The sequence below is a fragment of the Homo sapiens genome, chromosome 12 (genome assembly GCF_000001405.40).
Source record: "Homo sapiens chromosome 12, GRCh38.p14 Primary Assembly".
NCBI lineage: Eukaryota > Metazoa > Chordata > Mammalia > Primates > Hominidae > Homo > Homo sapiens.
This window is the reverse complement of record NC_000012.12, coordinates 70,405,718-70,422,674: the sequence shown is the minus strand read 5'-3', so window position 1 is coordinate 70,422,674 and position 16,957 is coordinate 70,405,718. Positions and strand designations below refer to the sequence as shown.

The window sequence follows — 16,957 nt, the reverse complement described above, 5'->3', positions numbered from 1 at the left end:
TCTTTTTTAAAAAGGCAAATCAACGAATGAATTTTATTCTAAAGTCAGCTTGGCACAAAAAGGCTTTATTAATTAGAAATCCTTTGTTGCTCTTCCATTGAAAATACAACAGAAAGAGAATTTTCAACCTAGTTAGATATTCTCTAAGATCAGATCTAAGAAACTGCATTAAATTTACATTAAATCCTTTTCCTCTTCCATCGACCTCCTTGAGCTGCTCAGGAACCTGGATCAGTTCAACGTTATCTCCACACCAGAGAGGAGGACTTTCAATTCATTGATTTCATCAGAAGTGCAGGATTTTGAAAACTAGCTGACAGCCTTGTTCCAGAAATTCCTGAGAGGTTTCCTTTAAGAATTGCTGTTCTTCAGAGTAATTTGGTCTGTGGTTTCTCTGAGTTACCAAGTTATTTATTTCATAGAGGACTATAAGTGTTTTTCTGTCCAAACATTTAAACTTAAGGTTTAAGCAGAAATAAACTGGAGACAAGAAGACATTTACATTCTTCATTTGAGACAGATTATTCTTATAATAGTTCTCACCTTGTTAACCTACTTTGTAGTTCCAAATTTGATGTGAAAGTTCAATAGTTTAAATTCGTATGGGAGAGATGAATTATTGATTCAATAAATTGTGTTGGGACAATACATGCCATTTGGAGAAAAAAACAGCGGCTCCTCATTTTATTCTCCCCACACTTACCAAAAAATCCAGATGGATGAGAACCTTAACTGTATAAAAACAAACTATGAATGCTCTAGAAAAATAACTTCGTTAAAAAAAAAAAAAAAAAGGCCAGGCATGCTGGCTCACGCCTGTAATCCCAGCACTTTGGGAGGCCAAGGCGGGCGGATCAAGAGGTCAGGGGGTCAAGACCATCCTGGCTAACATAGTGAAACCTCGTCTCTACTAAAAATACAAAAAATTAGATGGGTGTGGTGGCGGCCACCTGTAGTCCCAGCTACTCGGGAGGCTGAGGCAGGAGAATGGCGTGAACTTGGGAGGTGGAGCTTGCAGTGAGCCAAGATTGCGCCACTGCACTCCAGCCTGGGCGACAGAGCGAGACTCTGTCTCAAAAATAAATAAATAAATAAATAAAAACCCTTGGAGTTTCCTCATTTGTAAAATGGGAAATAAAACCCTCATTAAGAAGATCAAATGAGGGTATGTATGGGAAAAGTTTTTTTTTTTTTTTTTTTTTTTCTTTTTTGAGACAAGGTCTCACTCTGTCGCCCAGGCTGGAGTGCTTAACCTCCTGGGCTCAAGCAATCCTCTCACCTCAGCCTCCCTAGTAGCTGGGACTACAGGTGCCCACCATCACGCTCAGCTAATTTTTACAATTTTTTGTAGAGACAGGATCTCATTATGTTACCCAGGCCAGTCTCGAACTCTGGACTCAAGCAATCCTCCAACTTTGGGCTCCCAAAGCACTGGGATTACAGATATGAGCGACCATACTCAGCTGGGAAGCAGTTTTCTACAAAACCCTACACAGCATAGGTGACCTCAAATCTAGTCCAAGTCCAACTTTTCCAACCTTGAAGAAATGAATTTGACAACCCCAAGAGTATGATACAGAACCAGAACCTTTTAAAATTTGTAGTATTTTTTTTTTTTTTTTTGAGACGGAGTCTCGCTACGTCGCCCAGGCTGGAGTGCAGTGGCGCTATCTCAGCTCACTGGAAGCTCCCCTCCCAGGTTCACACCATTCTCCTGCCTCAGCCTCCCGCTGGGACTACAGGTGCCTGCCACCACGCCCGGCTAATTTTTTGTATTTTTAGTAGAGACGGGGTTTCACCGTGTTAGCCAGGATGGTCTCGATCTCTTGACCTCATGATCCGCCCGCCTCGGCCTCCCAAAGTGCTGGGATTACAGGTGTGAGCCACTGCGCCTGGCAATCTGTAGTATTTTCAAAGCTCAAAGTTGAAGAAAAGCTCATATTCATTGTAAAAGTCAATTACACTTAGAACTATCTGCAAATTACTGCCTGTATCTATTTCCTATTGCTGCTCTAGTAGCTTAAAGCAACACAGATGTAGTTTCTTACAGTTCTGGAGGTCAGAGGTTTGCAATCTGTTTCACTGGACTAAAATGAAGGTGTCAGCAGGGCTGTGTTCCTTCTGGAGGTTCTAGGAGAGAATCTGTTTCCTTGCCTTTCCCAGCATCCTTTCCTGCATTCTTTGGCTCATGGCCCCCTCCCTGGCATCACTCTAATCTCCTTTCCCTGATCACATCCCCTACTACTCTCTCTGATCTCATCTCCCCCTTATAAGTATCCCATGATTGCATTTGGGGCACACTCAGGCAATCCAGTATAATTTCCCCATCTCAAAATCCTTAATCACATCTGCAAAGTTCCTTTTATCATACAAGGTAACATGGTAGCAAAGTAAAATAACATAAATCCATCGGGATTATGGTGTGGACATCTTTGGGGGCCACTATTCAGACAGCCACAGTACCATAAACCGCTCTCCTATACTGTAATCAGTTCCTTACTAGCACAAGTTTTCTATCCCCTTTCCCAGTTAGTCATTCAGAATTAAATCATCAACAGAAGTATTTAAAAATAACCTAGGGAATAAACTGTTTTCTATTAATTCTATTTTATAACTCAGATCTACAATCTGAGTTATAAGATTTACTTTTTTCATTCTTTTTTCAGTGTTTGCCTTTTATGACAGGCATTTACATACAAGACACACCTGCCCAAAGATTAGCACACGTTATGAAATACTTCTCTTTCCTTCATCCTTTTCCTACATTGTGCCTTTGCCTAGGTAGATCTCCACTATTTCCACCACTATCTGCTGTTCCTAACCACAGCATTAATAACACTTTGCAATTTTAATATCCATCCTCCCTAAGTGCCTCCTTACTTTTTATAGAATATCCTTTTTGTCTTTGTAATACATCTTTGATATTTCCTTTTCAACTTTATTTTTTATCAAATGTGCCCAAAGATTCTTGGTTCTTCTTTACTCAGTTCTTTTATGATACAATGTCACTAGCAATTCTAAACTGCATATTCACTTTAGCCCCAATCCTATGCCACACCATGTTTGACTTTCCTAAAGTTTTTGTTCATTAACTATCCTTTGAATATTTTTTTTTAATTCTGAATTTTAAAATTGAAGTAGAATTTCTGCAAAGAGAAATTCAGAGGTAACAAGTGCATGGTTTAATCAGTTCTTCTTGTTGTTTTGATACTGCTGATTTCTGATCCTTTCACTTCTATTTTATAAAAACATTTATCCAACCCATTCTATTCTTTAAAACCCACATTCTTCCTTACAATGATTTCTCTCATATTTGAAGAGCAATACTGTATTATTAAATCAGATTTCATCCAGAAACGGGGAAATTTAAGGGTGAGCCATTTTGTTTCCAAAGAAAGTCTCTCAGAACTCATTTTCTATCTCAGCGATGCCTAGTGCTAAAGAAACATCCTCAGAAAATGGAAATGTTGATTTAGGATGTTAATGCTGAAAATATCTTTCTTTTTTAGAATTCCTTAAAGGAATTAATTCTTAAACATCAAAAGGTGCTTGCTGTGATATAGCATGTCTGATAATATAGGGCTACACAAGGGACTTCTCAAGCAAGCCCGGGCTGGATAGGACTAAAAATCAAAGGACTAATTATATCAGGACATCCCATATTCCCTTCACTGATTAAGACAAAACAATGGGGCCCCTTATTTTACTTTGTGAAGCCAAATTAACAAAGCTGAAATAGAAGTTCTCCTTATAAGAAAGGCTACAAACACTGGAAGGATTAGTCACAGTGAGCAAAAATCACCGATGAACCCAAAGTATGCATATGAGCAGGGATTCCATTGGGTATCTATAAGGCTGGCAAGAGCTTTAGAATTTGGTTCTCAAGGAAATGAGGTGGGTAAGGAATCCCCCCAAATGTCAATGTATCTTCTTACCATCTCAACAATCCTGGGTACAATGTGCACAGATGAAATATGGCATTTAAAAGGAGGTCAAGAAACATTTTCCTCATGATTTTTGATATAAAATCAAGATGGCAACAAACTCTGGAAGGATTAATCACGGAGCAAAGTTAGCACGCGCCTTTGTCTCAAAATCTTCAAAATCTTTTAAATGAAATAAGATTATATCCAAGGGCCTAAAAGCAGGTGTCTTCTAGGTTTGTCCAAGACCATAATTCTAAAATCCTGGAATCTGCTTCATTGCTTCAGGTGAATGAAGTCATAGGCTACACCAAGCATAGTGACTGCACACATATAAAAAGCTGCTTTTTGAAAGATCACTTTAACAACCACATTTTGTATCATTTCCCTAAGCTGAATCATGTTCTCAGCCCTCGCTCCAGGCAAAGAGGACACAGAAAAGAGATATAATCACAGATCACACACTTGCAACGTGGGTGTGAGAAACCGTTTCCAGGGAGAAAATGACAAACATACTGATGCACCCAAAATATGCATATGAGCAGGGATTCCATTGGGTGTCTGTAAGGCTGGCAAGAGCTTTAGAATTTGGTTCTCAAGGAAATGAGGTGGGTAAGGAATCCCCCCAAATGCCAATGTATCTTCTTACCATCTCAACAGTCCTGGGTATGATGTGCACAGACAAAATAAGGCATTTAAAAGGAAGTCAAGGCACATTTTCCCCATGAATTTTGATATAAAATCAAGATGGCTTCTTAGATAGGACAATTGAAGTGGGGCATAGCAACACGGGCTAGCTGAGTCTCCCATGGCTCAACCACAAATGCCCCCATAAAGAATGGTCGGTGGTCTCAGTGAGTTTGTTCAACTCCCAATAACCTGGATTTTTTTCCCAGTATTCCCGCTCCTAGAAGAGCATCACACCCTGCTAAGCTCAAAGTGAGAGCTCAGTAAATGTTAGTGGAATAAGAAAAGACTTCAAAGAAGAAAGTGAAAATCCAGTGCCATAGAGTGTCAGTTAAGCAAATTAAGGTAGCGGGCAGGGAACAAGATCTTAGATTTCATGGAGGTTTTTTCCAAAGGCCACATATATTTGTTTGAAATTGCAAATATCATGGATGTATTTGCATAAACAGGCATGTGTATTTGCTTGTGTTTTTACAGACTGTGCCAACTATTTTCAGATAATTTCCAAGAATGAATGATCATATTTACTACTCATTCTGTCATTACTGTTCTTCTTCCTGCTTCATCTTTTAATCGATCTCTATCTAGCCCAGCCAACCCCAATGTGTGCATAACAACTGTCACAAGCAGTTCCTGTTCCTTCAACTCACCTGCCCCATCCCTGTTTAGGTGCTTTGTCCTCCTTGAGGAGCCTCCAATGCTGCTGCTCCTATACATGTCACAATTTCAGACCCAGCATGCTAGGAACTGCTGCCAGCGCCTGGTTAAGCCAATACTAAATGGGGCCAAACAGGTGAACAGACATTCTGTCTTTCTCCAAACCTCTGAAAAAGATTCTGCAACTCATCTCACAGTAATTTGTTCCCTAATTTACTCTTAGGAAATTGTCGTTAAAGTCTGATTAGGTTAAGTCCAATTCCCTGTAATTAGATCCTCAGTGAAGAAAAATCTACCCATCACCACAATTTATTTTCTTTTCTATAGCTCCAGCATCAGTATTGTACCATTATTTTGGCAGCTCTGGAGAAAGGATTTGAAAAATATATCCTGGGTGAAGGGAAAGTCAGCTGCATGTCTTTCTGAAGAAAGCGCTACCTTCTGTTATAATATCATCATTCTAGAAGATTCCCAATTGTTAACAGCCTATTTCATTAAAGTGTATTACACACCGGTTTTTTTAAATTAAATAATTAGCAGCTTATATATATTTTGCTATTGCTTGTAGGAAGACAGAAATAGGCTAGCATTTCTATCAAGGCTAGCAATGAATCATTCATCCTAACCCCTAAATTATATAGTAAAGAATACTTTACTATACATTCAATTTTTACATTCAATTTTGTTGTAGTCTGTCAAGCAATATCTCTCAGTTAAAATGCATTAAACATCTTGAAATGCCTTTGCAAAGTAAAATTAGCTAAATTAATTTTGAGGCTCTTTTCCTAAATGAAGGATTACAAATATGTTTGGAGAACAAAAATACTATACAGAAATATGCATAACAATTAAAGTGGTGACTTACAGTTCAACAATAGAATTTTAAAACTTGAGTAATGAAAAAGACCCTATCAGTCTTCAAGTTTCTCTTAGATGTGCCAGCAGCTTAACTTTATCCTGGTAGCATGTGATATTCAAAATTCAAGAAAACACATGTAAATAACTGTCAGATTGGTGGAATAAACATGGTAAAGAATTTGAAAATCACTAAAAAGTATAGCCACAGGTATTCCTACAGAAACCTGTTTTCTGCTCTTTCACCTTGATACTAGCATTAATGTCCCAGATAGGTGCCCCTCCTTCATCTGGGGTCCCATAGTGAAACTGACATGGAGCAGAGCTGCACACGACCCAAGACAGACCTAGACAGGAAATAAACATTGGTTGTTACAAGCTTCTGAGATTTTCAGGTTGTTACCACAGCCTAATTTAGCCTAAGCTCATTGACACACACCAGGAAGGGCTGAGGATCCAATGGTTTCACTAAGGAAACAGCCATGATGGTCAAAAATAATCTTAATCTAAAGCACAAAAAAGTTTAGAGATGTTTATTTGGGCATTTTAAAAGACTTTCTTGGTACTCAGCTCTCTTCCATTCAGCCATGTGATATTTGCAGAACAACTATGATGTAGCAGGGACCAGGGCCATATTTGTGTGTTGGCTCTCACTAGTCAGCTGTAAATCCGAGGGCAGGAGCACCATTTTCCCATGTTTATATTCCCATTACCCAGAATAATGCTTGGCATGTGCTCTAGGTGCTCATAAATGTTTGTTGTTGGCTTACTGTTGAAATCCATTTCAAAATGCAATGGACATTTGTACAAAGTGCAGAGGTAATATTAAAGAAGGAGAACTGAAGTTTGCCTGGGAAAATAAAAAGGAAGTATCTTTTCAGCAGACATGAAAGAACAGATTAGAGTTTGGTGAAAAAATGGGGAAAGAATTTCTTGGTAGAAGATACAGCACAAATGCTTTGGTCTGGCATTTCAGATTATTTTGCCACCAACAACGCACTTTAAAAAATGTTATAATAGCAATCTTATTAATTAGATTTAATACAGTCCCTTATGTTATCCTAACCCAATATGGACTAGAATCCTGGCTGATGTTAGCAGCACCAGAGCAGAATGCTTAAGAGAACAGACTCTGTGAATCTAATTAATGCCACTAAATTGTGAGTCTAATTAATGCCACTAAATTGTGCACTTTACCACAATTTTTAAAGATTCACCATGGTTAGTTCTGTAATCTCAGTGTGGAGGTAGACCATATTGTCCAAGTTTTACAGAAGAGGCTTCTGGAACTAAGAGGTTTGAATCCTGGCTCTGTCACTTGCCAGCTATGTGATTTGGTCATATTGCTTAACCTCTGTGTTCCAGTTCCCTCATGTATAAAATGAGGATTGTGTTAATAATGCCTTGTAGGGGTGTTGTGCAGATTCAATGAGTTAATATGTAAAAAACATTTAAATAGTTTCTGGTACAGAGGCAGCATGGTAAACAGGTATCGGCTATTATGAAAGGCCAAAGGAAGATCAGCAGTGAAATAGGTCTATGTCCTAGTCCTTTTCAGCATTTTTATCGATAACTTGGATGAGAAAAATCAAAGCCATTTTGACTTACAATTAAGATAGAATTATGATGGAAGATATAACAAATATGATGGGTACCATAATCAAGAGTCAAAATAATCATGAGACTGGAACAATCGGTCAAAAGCAACAAGATGTAGTCACATATAGGAATAAATTTTAAATTCTTGCGTATTTAAATGCTACACAAATCTCAACAGTTTAAGAATGGAGGGAACCTGCTTTAATAAAGAGCAGCATGTATAAATCAAATGTTGGGAGAGCAAATTTAATTAAGTATAAGCTCCATATGAATCAATAGTGTGCTGTAGCTGCCAAAAAAGCTCATGCCATGTCGTTAACTGAGTTTCAGTCTCTGGATTTATCAAGGGTGGTAGAAATGTTCTGCCTTCCTCTGCACTGGCCAGCTCAGGGCACAGTAAGAAAAGCATCCCAAATGATGAGAACAAATCTGTTCCCAACAGTGATGGCAATATGAACTTGGTGACACCCACAGTCTGAAGGTCAAGTACTCAGGTGCAGATCCTGACACTGCTCCTCCCTAGCCATGTGATCTTAAAGCCTCTGTTGTCTCTTCTGTAAAACTTGGACAATATGGTCTACCTCCACACTGAGATTATAGAACTAACCACAGTGAATCTTTAAAAATTGTGGTAAAGTATACAACTGAGTGGCATTAATTAGACTCACAATTTAGTGGCATTAATTAGATTCACATAATTTATTTCCAAAATCTTTTTTTTTGAGACAGAGTCTCGCTCTGTCACCCAGGCTAGAGTGCAGTGGTGCGATCTCAGCTCACTGCAATCTCTGCCTCCCGGGTTCAAGCAATTCTCCTGCCTCAGCCTCCTGAGTAGCTGGGATTACAGGCATGCACCACCACGCCTGGCTAATTTTTGTATTTTTGGTAGAGATGGGGTTTCACCATGTTGGTCAGGCTGGTCTCGAACTCTTGACCTCATGATCTGCCTGCCTCAGCCTCCCAAAGTGCTGGGATTACAAGTGTGAGCCACCGCACCCAGCCCAAAACTTAAATCTCACCAGACAGAAACTCTCTAGCCATTGAGCAATAGCTCCCCACTTTCCACTTCCCTCAGTCCCTGATAAACTTAATATACTTTCTGTCTCTATGAATTTGCCTATTTTAGGTATTTCCCAGGATTAATTTCTTGACAACTAAAAACGTTTAAAAATGGAGTGGGTTTCTTCAGGAGGAGGTGATGTCCACTGTCACAAGAGTCGTTCAAGTAGAGAACAGAAAACACTTCAAAAAATTATGTGGTGGGGATTCATTTTGGGTTGCAGCAAATGAATGAAAAGTGTCTCCCAGATTTGACAGTCTATGAGTCTGTGAACTCCACAATACATTTGACATGTGTTTCCGGTGACTTCTAGCCCCATTTTATCTAAGATGAAACTGAGGCAAGAGCTCTTTGATAAGTAGCCCAAGGTCAATCACTAAGTCACGAAGAGAGCCATGGATAGAAATGGAGTGGAGTCTCCTGACGCACAGCCCTGCCCTGCATTCCACCATCTGATGATGCTGCACTCTATGACCTACTTGTCCTACGGTTCTTGTATTTTTCCTCCCAAATTCCCTCAGGGCTTTGTTTGAAGGCTGCATAAAATATCTTAAATGAAAAGTGATTTAATAACATCAAATTCTTAACTTTAATGCCACGATGATAAAAGCTGTTAGAAGATGAATTTGCAAGCATGAAAACACTTTGATTAACCATTAGAAAACAGACTCTCAAATGTAGATTTTAAGTAATGTACAGCCATTTGGATGTCAGACTGAGAAAAAACACTGGAATAACTTCCATATATATTCCACAGCATACTGGAGAAGCCACAGCAATCACTGCTTTTTTTAAAAAGTACAGATTTTGGGACCAAAGAAAGCCTTCAACTCTGATGTAATCTCTCTTAATATGGAGACAGACACAAATGTATATGGAAAATACTTGGTTTCGGTAAGATTCCAGATTTACTGTTTTGTTTTTTAAGATACAGGATATATCATTGGGTTTAATGTCTAAAGAAAAAGCCAATATGTTCCTGTAAAAAATAGCCTTAGAACCAGTCTATTCTCTAATGATAAGACTGTAAGAAATACTTCTCAGAGTAGAAGACAAAAATAAGTAATTTTTACCAAATATCAAACACAGTATTTAGTAATTCATTCCAATGTCAACAAAATTTTCCTCTGGAATTTGTTCCAAATCTTAGGTCCCATCTTTATATGCACATTTTCCCCATTTGTATACTAAGAGGTCTGCTAGTAAAAACAAAGTTTTTTCTTTAGTAATTTGCTCTATAAAAAAGCCAAAAGAAAAACTTAGAAGCCAATGGTACAATTAAATTCAACATATAAATATATTAAAATAAATCTTTTTTTGAGCTTGCATCTGTTTTTAGAGCTCAATCTGTTTTTAGAATGCAAAGACGTCCGGAAAATAAACTACAACTGACCAATCATTTTTCACTCTATTGGTTATAAACATATTCAGATGCCTATTTCTAAGCATGTAAGTGTTGTCTGTCACACATAACAAGAAATCCAGAGGTAGCATGGCCAGGGCAGGGGCAGCTATTCCACAAGAGTGCCAGGAAGCTGGCTCTTTTTGCTCCACTCTTACTAATGTGTAGATGTCCACTCTCCTGTTTATCACCTCAAAGCTGCATGATGCCTTTTGCTGTTGTGGCATCAGAAAGCAGGAGGCAGCAGCACTCACATCAGAAAAGCAAAGGCTTTCCCAGAACATTCCAGTTAATGGTGCCTCCAAAACAGTTACCCAGGACAGAAAGCCAGAACTGGATCCAATTCCATCCAGTTCTTAACCTCAACCCCTATCAAGCATCATGTACTTCTCTAAATCTGCAGATTCCACTTCCTTCAAGTCCTATGTCCATTCCTCCTTTTCTTCCTCCACTAATTCTACCTTTGTCCAAGCTCCTACCATCCCTTGTCTAGACTGGTACAACAGTCTCCAAATTGTTCATGGATCCTCCAGCTTTGGCTTCTATCAATCTACCCTCCATGCTGCCACTAGACTCATCTTTCTAAAACTTAAATGTGACTGTCACTCCTCCACTGCCCTTAAGACAAATTTAAACCCCTTAGCATGACATACACGCACAGTATTATCTATTTCAACCTCTTCAGTTCATCTACCACTTTCTTTTTTCTTTTTTTAGACAGGGTCTCCCTATGCTGCCCAGGCTAGCCTTAAACTCCTGGACTCAAATGATCCTCCCATCTCAGCCTCCCAAGTAGTGGGGACTACAGGTATATGCCACTGTTCCCAGCTTGAGATGGTAGCATTTTTATGTGTAAAATTTAGGACACTAAATTACAAAAAGAGTAACAACCATGATACCAGAGTGATAAGCTATTCTGTGGCGGCAGGAAGATCTCTGTAGCCCCTGAAATGGGCTTGCTTCACGGAGAGGAAATAGACATTTACAAAAGTGAATTTTCCAAATAATTAAAGCTTAAATTTTAAGTTGAATAAAAACTAATAAAATATTAAAATATTATTGGTAAAAATCTTCCTAAAAATGCATTACACATTTCTTTGCCTTTTAAGGAGAGTAGGTTGAACCAAATTTAACCTTTTTTGATGACTCAGTGTCATCATTATGAAACTCAATTACCGTTGAGGTAGCAGGGCTGTCTCCCTCTCCATTAAATGGCTCTAGACTGTTAACCATTTATTTCTTTACTAATTGCCTCTCCCTTTCACCATTAGGATTTTATCTAGCATCTTAAGTTGTTGTAATTTTGTACAAGTCTTCAGAACCAGGGAATCATAAAACCATAGAATTTGAGAGTTTGAAGGAATTTTAGAGATCATTTCATCCATCAGTCTATCAAATTTTATAGTTAAGAAAACTAAACCCTAAGTAAGTGAGCAGTCTTTTTCTAATCAGTTGCTTTTCATCTTCTATTTTAATGGCTTTAAAACTGTGTTCTGAAGAAACCACTACTCAATTTGAGCTCAGGCCATTATGTTTATCTTTCTTTAAAATGCTAAGGGTAAACTGGATTTAAAAACATATGCTACAGGATAAACACACTTTGAGTGAACTTAGAAATTAGGATATATCTGTTAGCATCAGGAGTACAACATATTTAACAACAGAATTTCTTCTTTCTTCCTTTTTTTTGTGTTGTTGTTTTACTCATTCATAAAACCCTCATTATTTATTTATTCAACACCTCAGCCTCCAATCAGTAAATAACCAGGCCCAACTTTGTTTCTAACTTAGTTGTTAGAAATCTACAGAGGCAGGGAAGAAAAGCATATGTGTTTACTAAGTATTAGCTATGGTGCAAATGTGTTTCTTACAAAACCAAAACAGAAGCTCTTAAGATGGGTAATGCTATCCTCATTTTACAGGCGAGGAAACCAAGATGGAGAAGCTGCACAATTTATCCAAGGTCGTACAATTAATCAGTGATAGAGGAGAAATGTAAATCCCGATGCTTGATGTCACATGACTGCTGCCCTTAAGGAATTCATAATCTATAACAACAAAAAAGTACATATTCAACTCTCTTAACAGTGTGATAAAAGCAACCATGGCAGTGTGGGACTGCAGAAGAGGAAGTAATGAATTATACCTGAAAAGGTGGGAGAAGGTTACACAGTAACATTTGAGGTGAATCTTAATAATAGTAATAAAAACAATAATAGCAAACACTTTTGTAGGAATTATTGTGGGTTAGGCACATGCCATCTCCTTGATATTATATCCCACTTCTGCAAAGGAAACTGAGGCACAGATAGATTTAAGTAACATATCTAAGACCACGCCACTAGAAAGCGTTTGGTTCTAGAGTTCATTCTAGGACTACTGTGCTGTGCTAATTCCCAGAAGTAAAAAAGGTGAAGGTGTCCCCAGGTGAGGAGAAAGAGACAGGAGCAAAGGCATCAAGGTGTATGGGAAACAGAATGACTCGAGGTGACTGATGCAGCTGGAATAAAAGTTAAAATATGTAAAGCAGACCATATTACCACTCTGCTTAAAACCAACGACTGGCTGCTCACTACATTTTAAGAGAAATCTAAGCCCTGTATAGTTCTTGCTCCACTCTCCCACTCATTCACAGTTCTCCTGACACACTGGCCTTCCAGTACCTAAAACCACCAAGCTCTTTTTTGCTGCAGAACATTGGCACATGGTAGTATCTCATTCTGAAATATTCTCCCCCTAGCTTTTTACCTAGCTAATTCTTGAACATCCTCTGGTCTTGACCTAATTTTAATTTACACAGAAAGGTCTTTGAAATTCCCCATCATGCCGTAATATCTCATAGCAGCATCCTCAGCTTCCCCTTCATAGCACTACCCTACTTTGTAATTATACTACTGTTGTGACTACAGACTATAGGCTCCATGAAGGCAAGGACCGTGTCTGCTATTTTGTTGTTGTTTTCTTGTTGTTTTGTCTTTGGTTTTCCTTGACTGGCACATAATTCAATGGCAGAAGTTTAAGTTGGAATTGGAAGAGCATGGCCTTTATCCTATAGATAAGAAGAAGGCAGAAAAATTTAATCAAGGACTGTGACAAGATCAAAAGGAGGCTTAAACAAAGCAAAACAAAACCTAGCGTGGTGTGGATGACAGACAAGAGAAAGACCAAGGCTGACAGACTAGTTGAGGATGCCTTCAACAAGCCAGGTGAGAGCCTGAATCCAGGCAGTGGTGGAGGAAGTGAATTCAAGAGACTGCACAGGTGGTGTGGCTGGATTTGTTCATTTGACGTGTGTGTTTGTGTAAGCCTGCTCCGTGTACTCTGTGACCTACTATCCAGAGGTATAAAACAAAGTACTAAAAAGTAAACCTGTATAGAAAAACTCTATGCTCTCCAACAAGAGGAAAAGATAAAAAGACTGATCACTCCTTTTGGCCTTTAGATCCAAAGGGAATTGAAGAATGAATAGTTATTTTCAAAGGGACAAGCCCTCTTCAAGGAGAAGCCAGTTAAGGCAAAGATGAAGAAAGGAAATTGTATGAAAAGATTGAGAATACAGAGAAGTTTTCTGGCAATGAAAAGGGGGTTTCAAAGTATACTCGTTAAGGGGGTATAAGTTAGGTTTTGCTGAGAAGGAATAAGCCAGGGAAAGACTGAGAAAAAAAATGAAAACATGATATAGGGAGAATTGTGAACTTACCTGAATAAAAAAGTGTAAAAACAAAATCTACACATTTTGGAAGGAGACTGAGCCTCGAGGTTAAGGGAGGCAAAGAGTGGAAAGGTTATATGGGAGGGCCACAAATGGACTCAACCCTTGGCATGAATTCACCCCAGTGACGCCTCTGCAGAATCCTTCCTGGGTGTAGAGAGGGATGGCCGCACCGAGACTGACTGCCCACGGCAGGCACAGCTGCTTCGGGGCTGCTTCGGCCGCTGCAGACTCAACACTGGAATACAGCTTGCCTCAACAGGACTTAACCAGTGGAAAGCTAAGACTCCTCTAATCTTTGTCTTAGATTTTTAAAATAACACCCTTTTCTTGAAAGTCAAAACTGGACTATTCTCCCTAATTTCCTGCATTTGAGCGAAATCGAAAGGTTTCTTTAAATATAAAGTTCATCTTTTCAAGAGCATCTGGGAGTCCCTACAGTAAGTCTATTTTAATTTCATATTTAGCAGTAGTAAAAAGTGTACTAAGAGTAGATGGCACCAGGGAGCTGCCATTTTTCACACCTCCAAACAGCACTCCTGTTTCCTCTCACATATGTCATGGTAAAAGAGCCAAACTCCGAACGCCTGCCTTCCCAGAGTCGCTGAAAAATCCTGTCTTGAGTGCTGCTGGGCTGTGATAGACCACCCCCGCTTCTATCTACACCCCCACCGTTTGGGAATGGGACAGTGAGATGATGGATAGGGAATGTGTATCCGTTCTGAAGGAGGTATAATGAGCTTAAATTTACTGTACTGAAGTTAACACAACTGCTATAGGTGACATAATAAGAAATTTGTATTTGGTCTCTGCCCCGGTTCCTGGCACAGAACTTGTAAAACCCTTGTAATTTCCTGAGTAGTCGGGGTGAGAGGAGAATCTTCGTTTTTTCATAGTAAGCCCCTTTCAACCATGCCCAAGTTTATACTAGTGAGGTGACTCTTGGAGGATGGGGACCGGTTGTCAGAAGAACCAACCATGTGAATAGAGGATTAGAATTCAGCACCACCTCAGGCTGGGCGCGGTGGCTCACGCCTGTAATCCCAGCACTTTGGGAGGCTGAGGCGGGCGGATCACGAGGTCAGGAGATCGAGACCATCCTGGCTAACACGGTGAAACCCCGTCTCTACTAAAAATACAAAAAATTAGCCGGGTGTGGTGGCGGGCGCCTGTAGTCCCAGCTACTCGGGAGGCTGAGGCAGGAGAATGGTGTGAACCCGGGAGGCGGAGCTTGCAGTGAGCAGAGATCAAGCCACTGCACTCCAGCCTGGGCGACAGAGTGAGACTCCATCTCAAAAAAAAAAAAAAAAAAAAAAAAAGAATTCAGCACCACCTCTCTCTAGCCACCTCTCCAGGCAAGGGAGAGTTGGCTAGAGATCAACTCAACCACCAAGGGCCAATGCTGTAATCAATCGTGCCTATGTAATAGCCATAAAAACCCTAACAACTCCAGAGCTCCTGGGTTGGTGCATACATCAAGGTGCTGGGAAGGTGGTGTGCCTGGAGAGGGCCCCTTGCTCAATGCATCTCTTCCATCTGGCAGTTCCTGAGTTGTGTCCTTTATAATAAACTGGAATAGTAAGTAGTGTTCTGTGAGCCATTCTAGCAAATTATTGAATGCAAGGAGGGAGGATGTGGGAACCCCTGACTTAGAGAAGGTCAGCCAGAAGTACAGGTAGATAGCTGGGACATGCGCTTGACATCTGAAGTGGGGGTCATCTTGTGGGGCTGGACCCTTTAATTTGTGGGATCTGATGCCAACTCCAGAAACAAACTGAACTGTAGGACACCAGCTAGTGTCACCAGAGAACTGAACTGCTTGGTGTGGAAATACCCCACACATTTGGTGTCAGAATTGTTGCGAGAGTACAAAAAAATACTTTTATACTTTTAGTATATAATTTGGTTTAGCTCTTTTTAGGTAGACCTCACACTTCTGGAGGAATAGTCCTTCTTGACTGGGTATTGAGAATATTCAAAATTCATGCCCTGACAGGAGGAGACAACCCTGTCAGGGGGAGGCAGCCCTTACAACACGCAGTTCCCAAGTGGGGAGTGAGAGGACGTTCATCAACATGGTCACCAGCTAGTCAGGACAGCACATGGAAGGGGTGCCTTGTTCACCTCCAACTGCAAGCTCAAGCTCAGGAACGTTCTGAAACCAGTTCCCAGTCCAGGGCAGGAAGCTTCAAGGAAGCACCTGATTCACACAGCAGTGGGTTCAGGCTCAAAGAGTCCCACCTCACAGAAAAAGAAATCTGCGTACTCCTTCAGCATTTTATTTCATTCTGTCTCGTTTTCTTCAGGGCACGTTCCATTTTTACTTTACGATATACATTCCATTTTTCTCTCTCCCTCCAACAGTTTTCATCTGCAGGAGGCTTATTTCTCTATATCCACTCCTCAGTTACTCACCTCCTCCCCAAGCCTTTTTCCAGTCATAGGAAACTTTAATTTTATTTTATTGTGGTAAGAATACTTAAGATGAGATATACCCTCTTCAATTTTTAAGTGTACAATACATTACTGTTGGTGATAGTACAGTATTGTTGTACACAAGTGTTGACTTGTACTGTACAAGTCTGTAGAGCCTATTGATCTTACTTGACTGAAACTTTATGGCCATTGATTAGTAACTTCCGTTACCCCCTCCTCCCAGCCCCTGATAACTACCACCATTCCACTTTTTTAATCTATGAATTTGACTATTTTAGATACTTCATATAAGTGGAATCATACAGTATTTGCCTTTTTGTGTCTGGCTTCTTTCACTTGGTATAATGTCCTCCAGGTTCATCCATGTCGTCACATGTTGCAGAGTTTCCTTCTTTTCAAAGGCTGAACACTTCCATTGTATGTACATACCATATTTTCTTTCTATTTCTTTTCGAGATCGGATCTCGCTATGTGGCCCAGGCTGGACTCCTGGCCCCAAGCAATCCTCCCGCCTCAGCCTCCCCTAGCTGAGACCCCAGGTATCACCATTGCGCCTGGCTTCACATATTCTTTATCCATTCATCTGCTGATGGACATTTAGGTTGTTTCCACATCTTGGCTATTGT

At 39.8% G+C, this 16,957-nt stretch overlaps 1 protein-coding gene across 3 annotated transcripts in view; it reads right to left on the bottom strand.

The window, feature by feature from the left end:
• The window catches only part of KCNMB4 (potassium calcium-activated channel subfamily M regulatory beta subunit 4), a 68,003-nt gene that overhangs the window by 11,618 nt on the left and 39,428 nt on the right, over positions 1-16,957 (bottom strand). Inside the window, exon 3 of one of the 3 annotated variants that reach the window (XM_011538188.3) lies at positions 50-13,232. The exons of the other annotated variants lie outside the window; for them this stretch is intronic. Coding sequence (XP_011536490.1) covers positions 13,127-13,232 — 106 coding nt within the window. The 3' untranslated portion in view covers positions 50-13,126. Of the gene's footprint in view, positions 1-49; positions 13,233-16,957 lie in introns of those variants that run through there. 3 annotated transcript variants of the gene reach the window in all.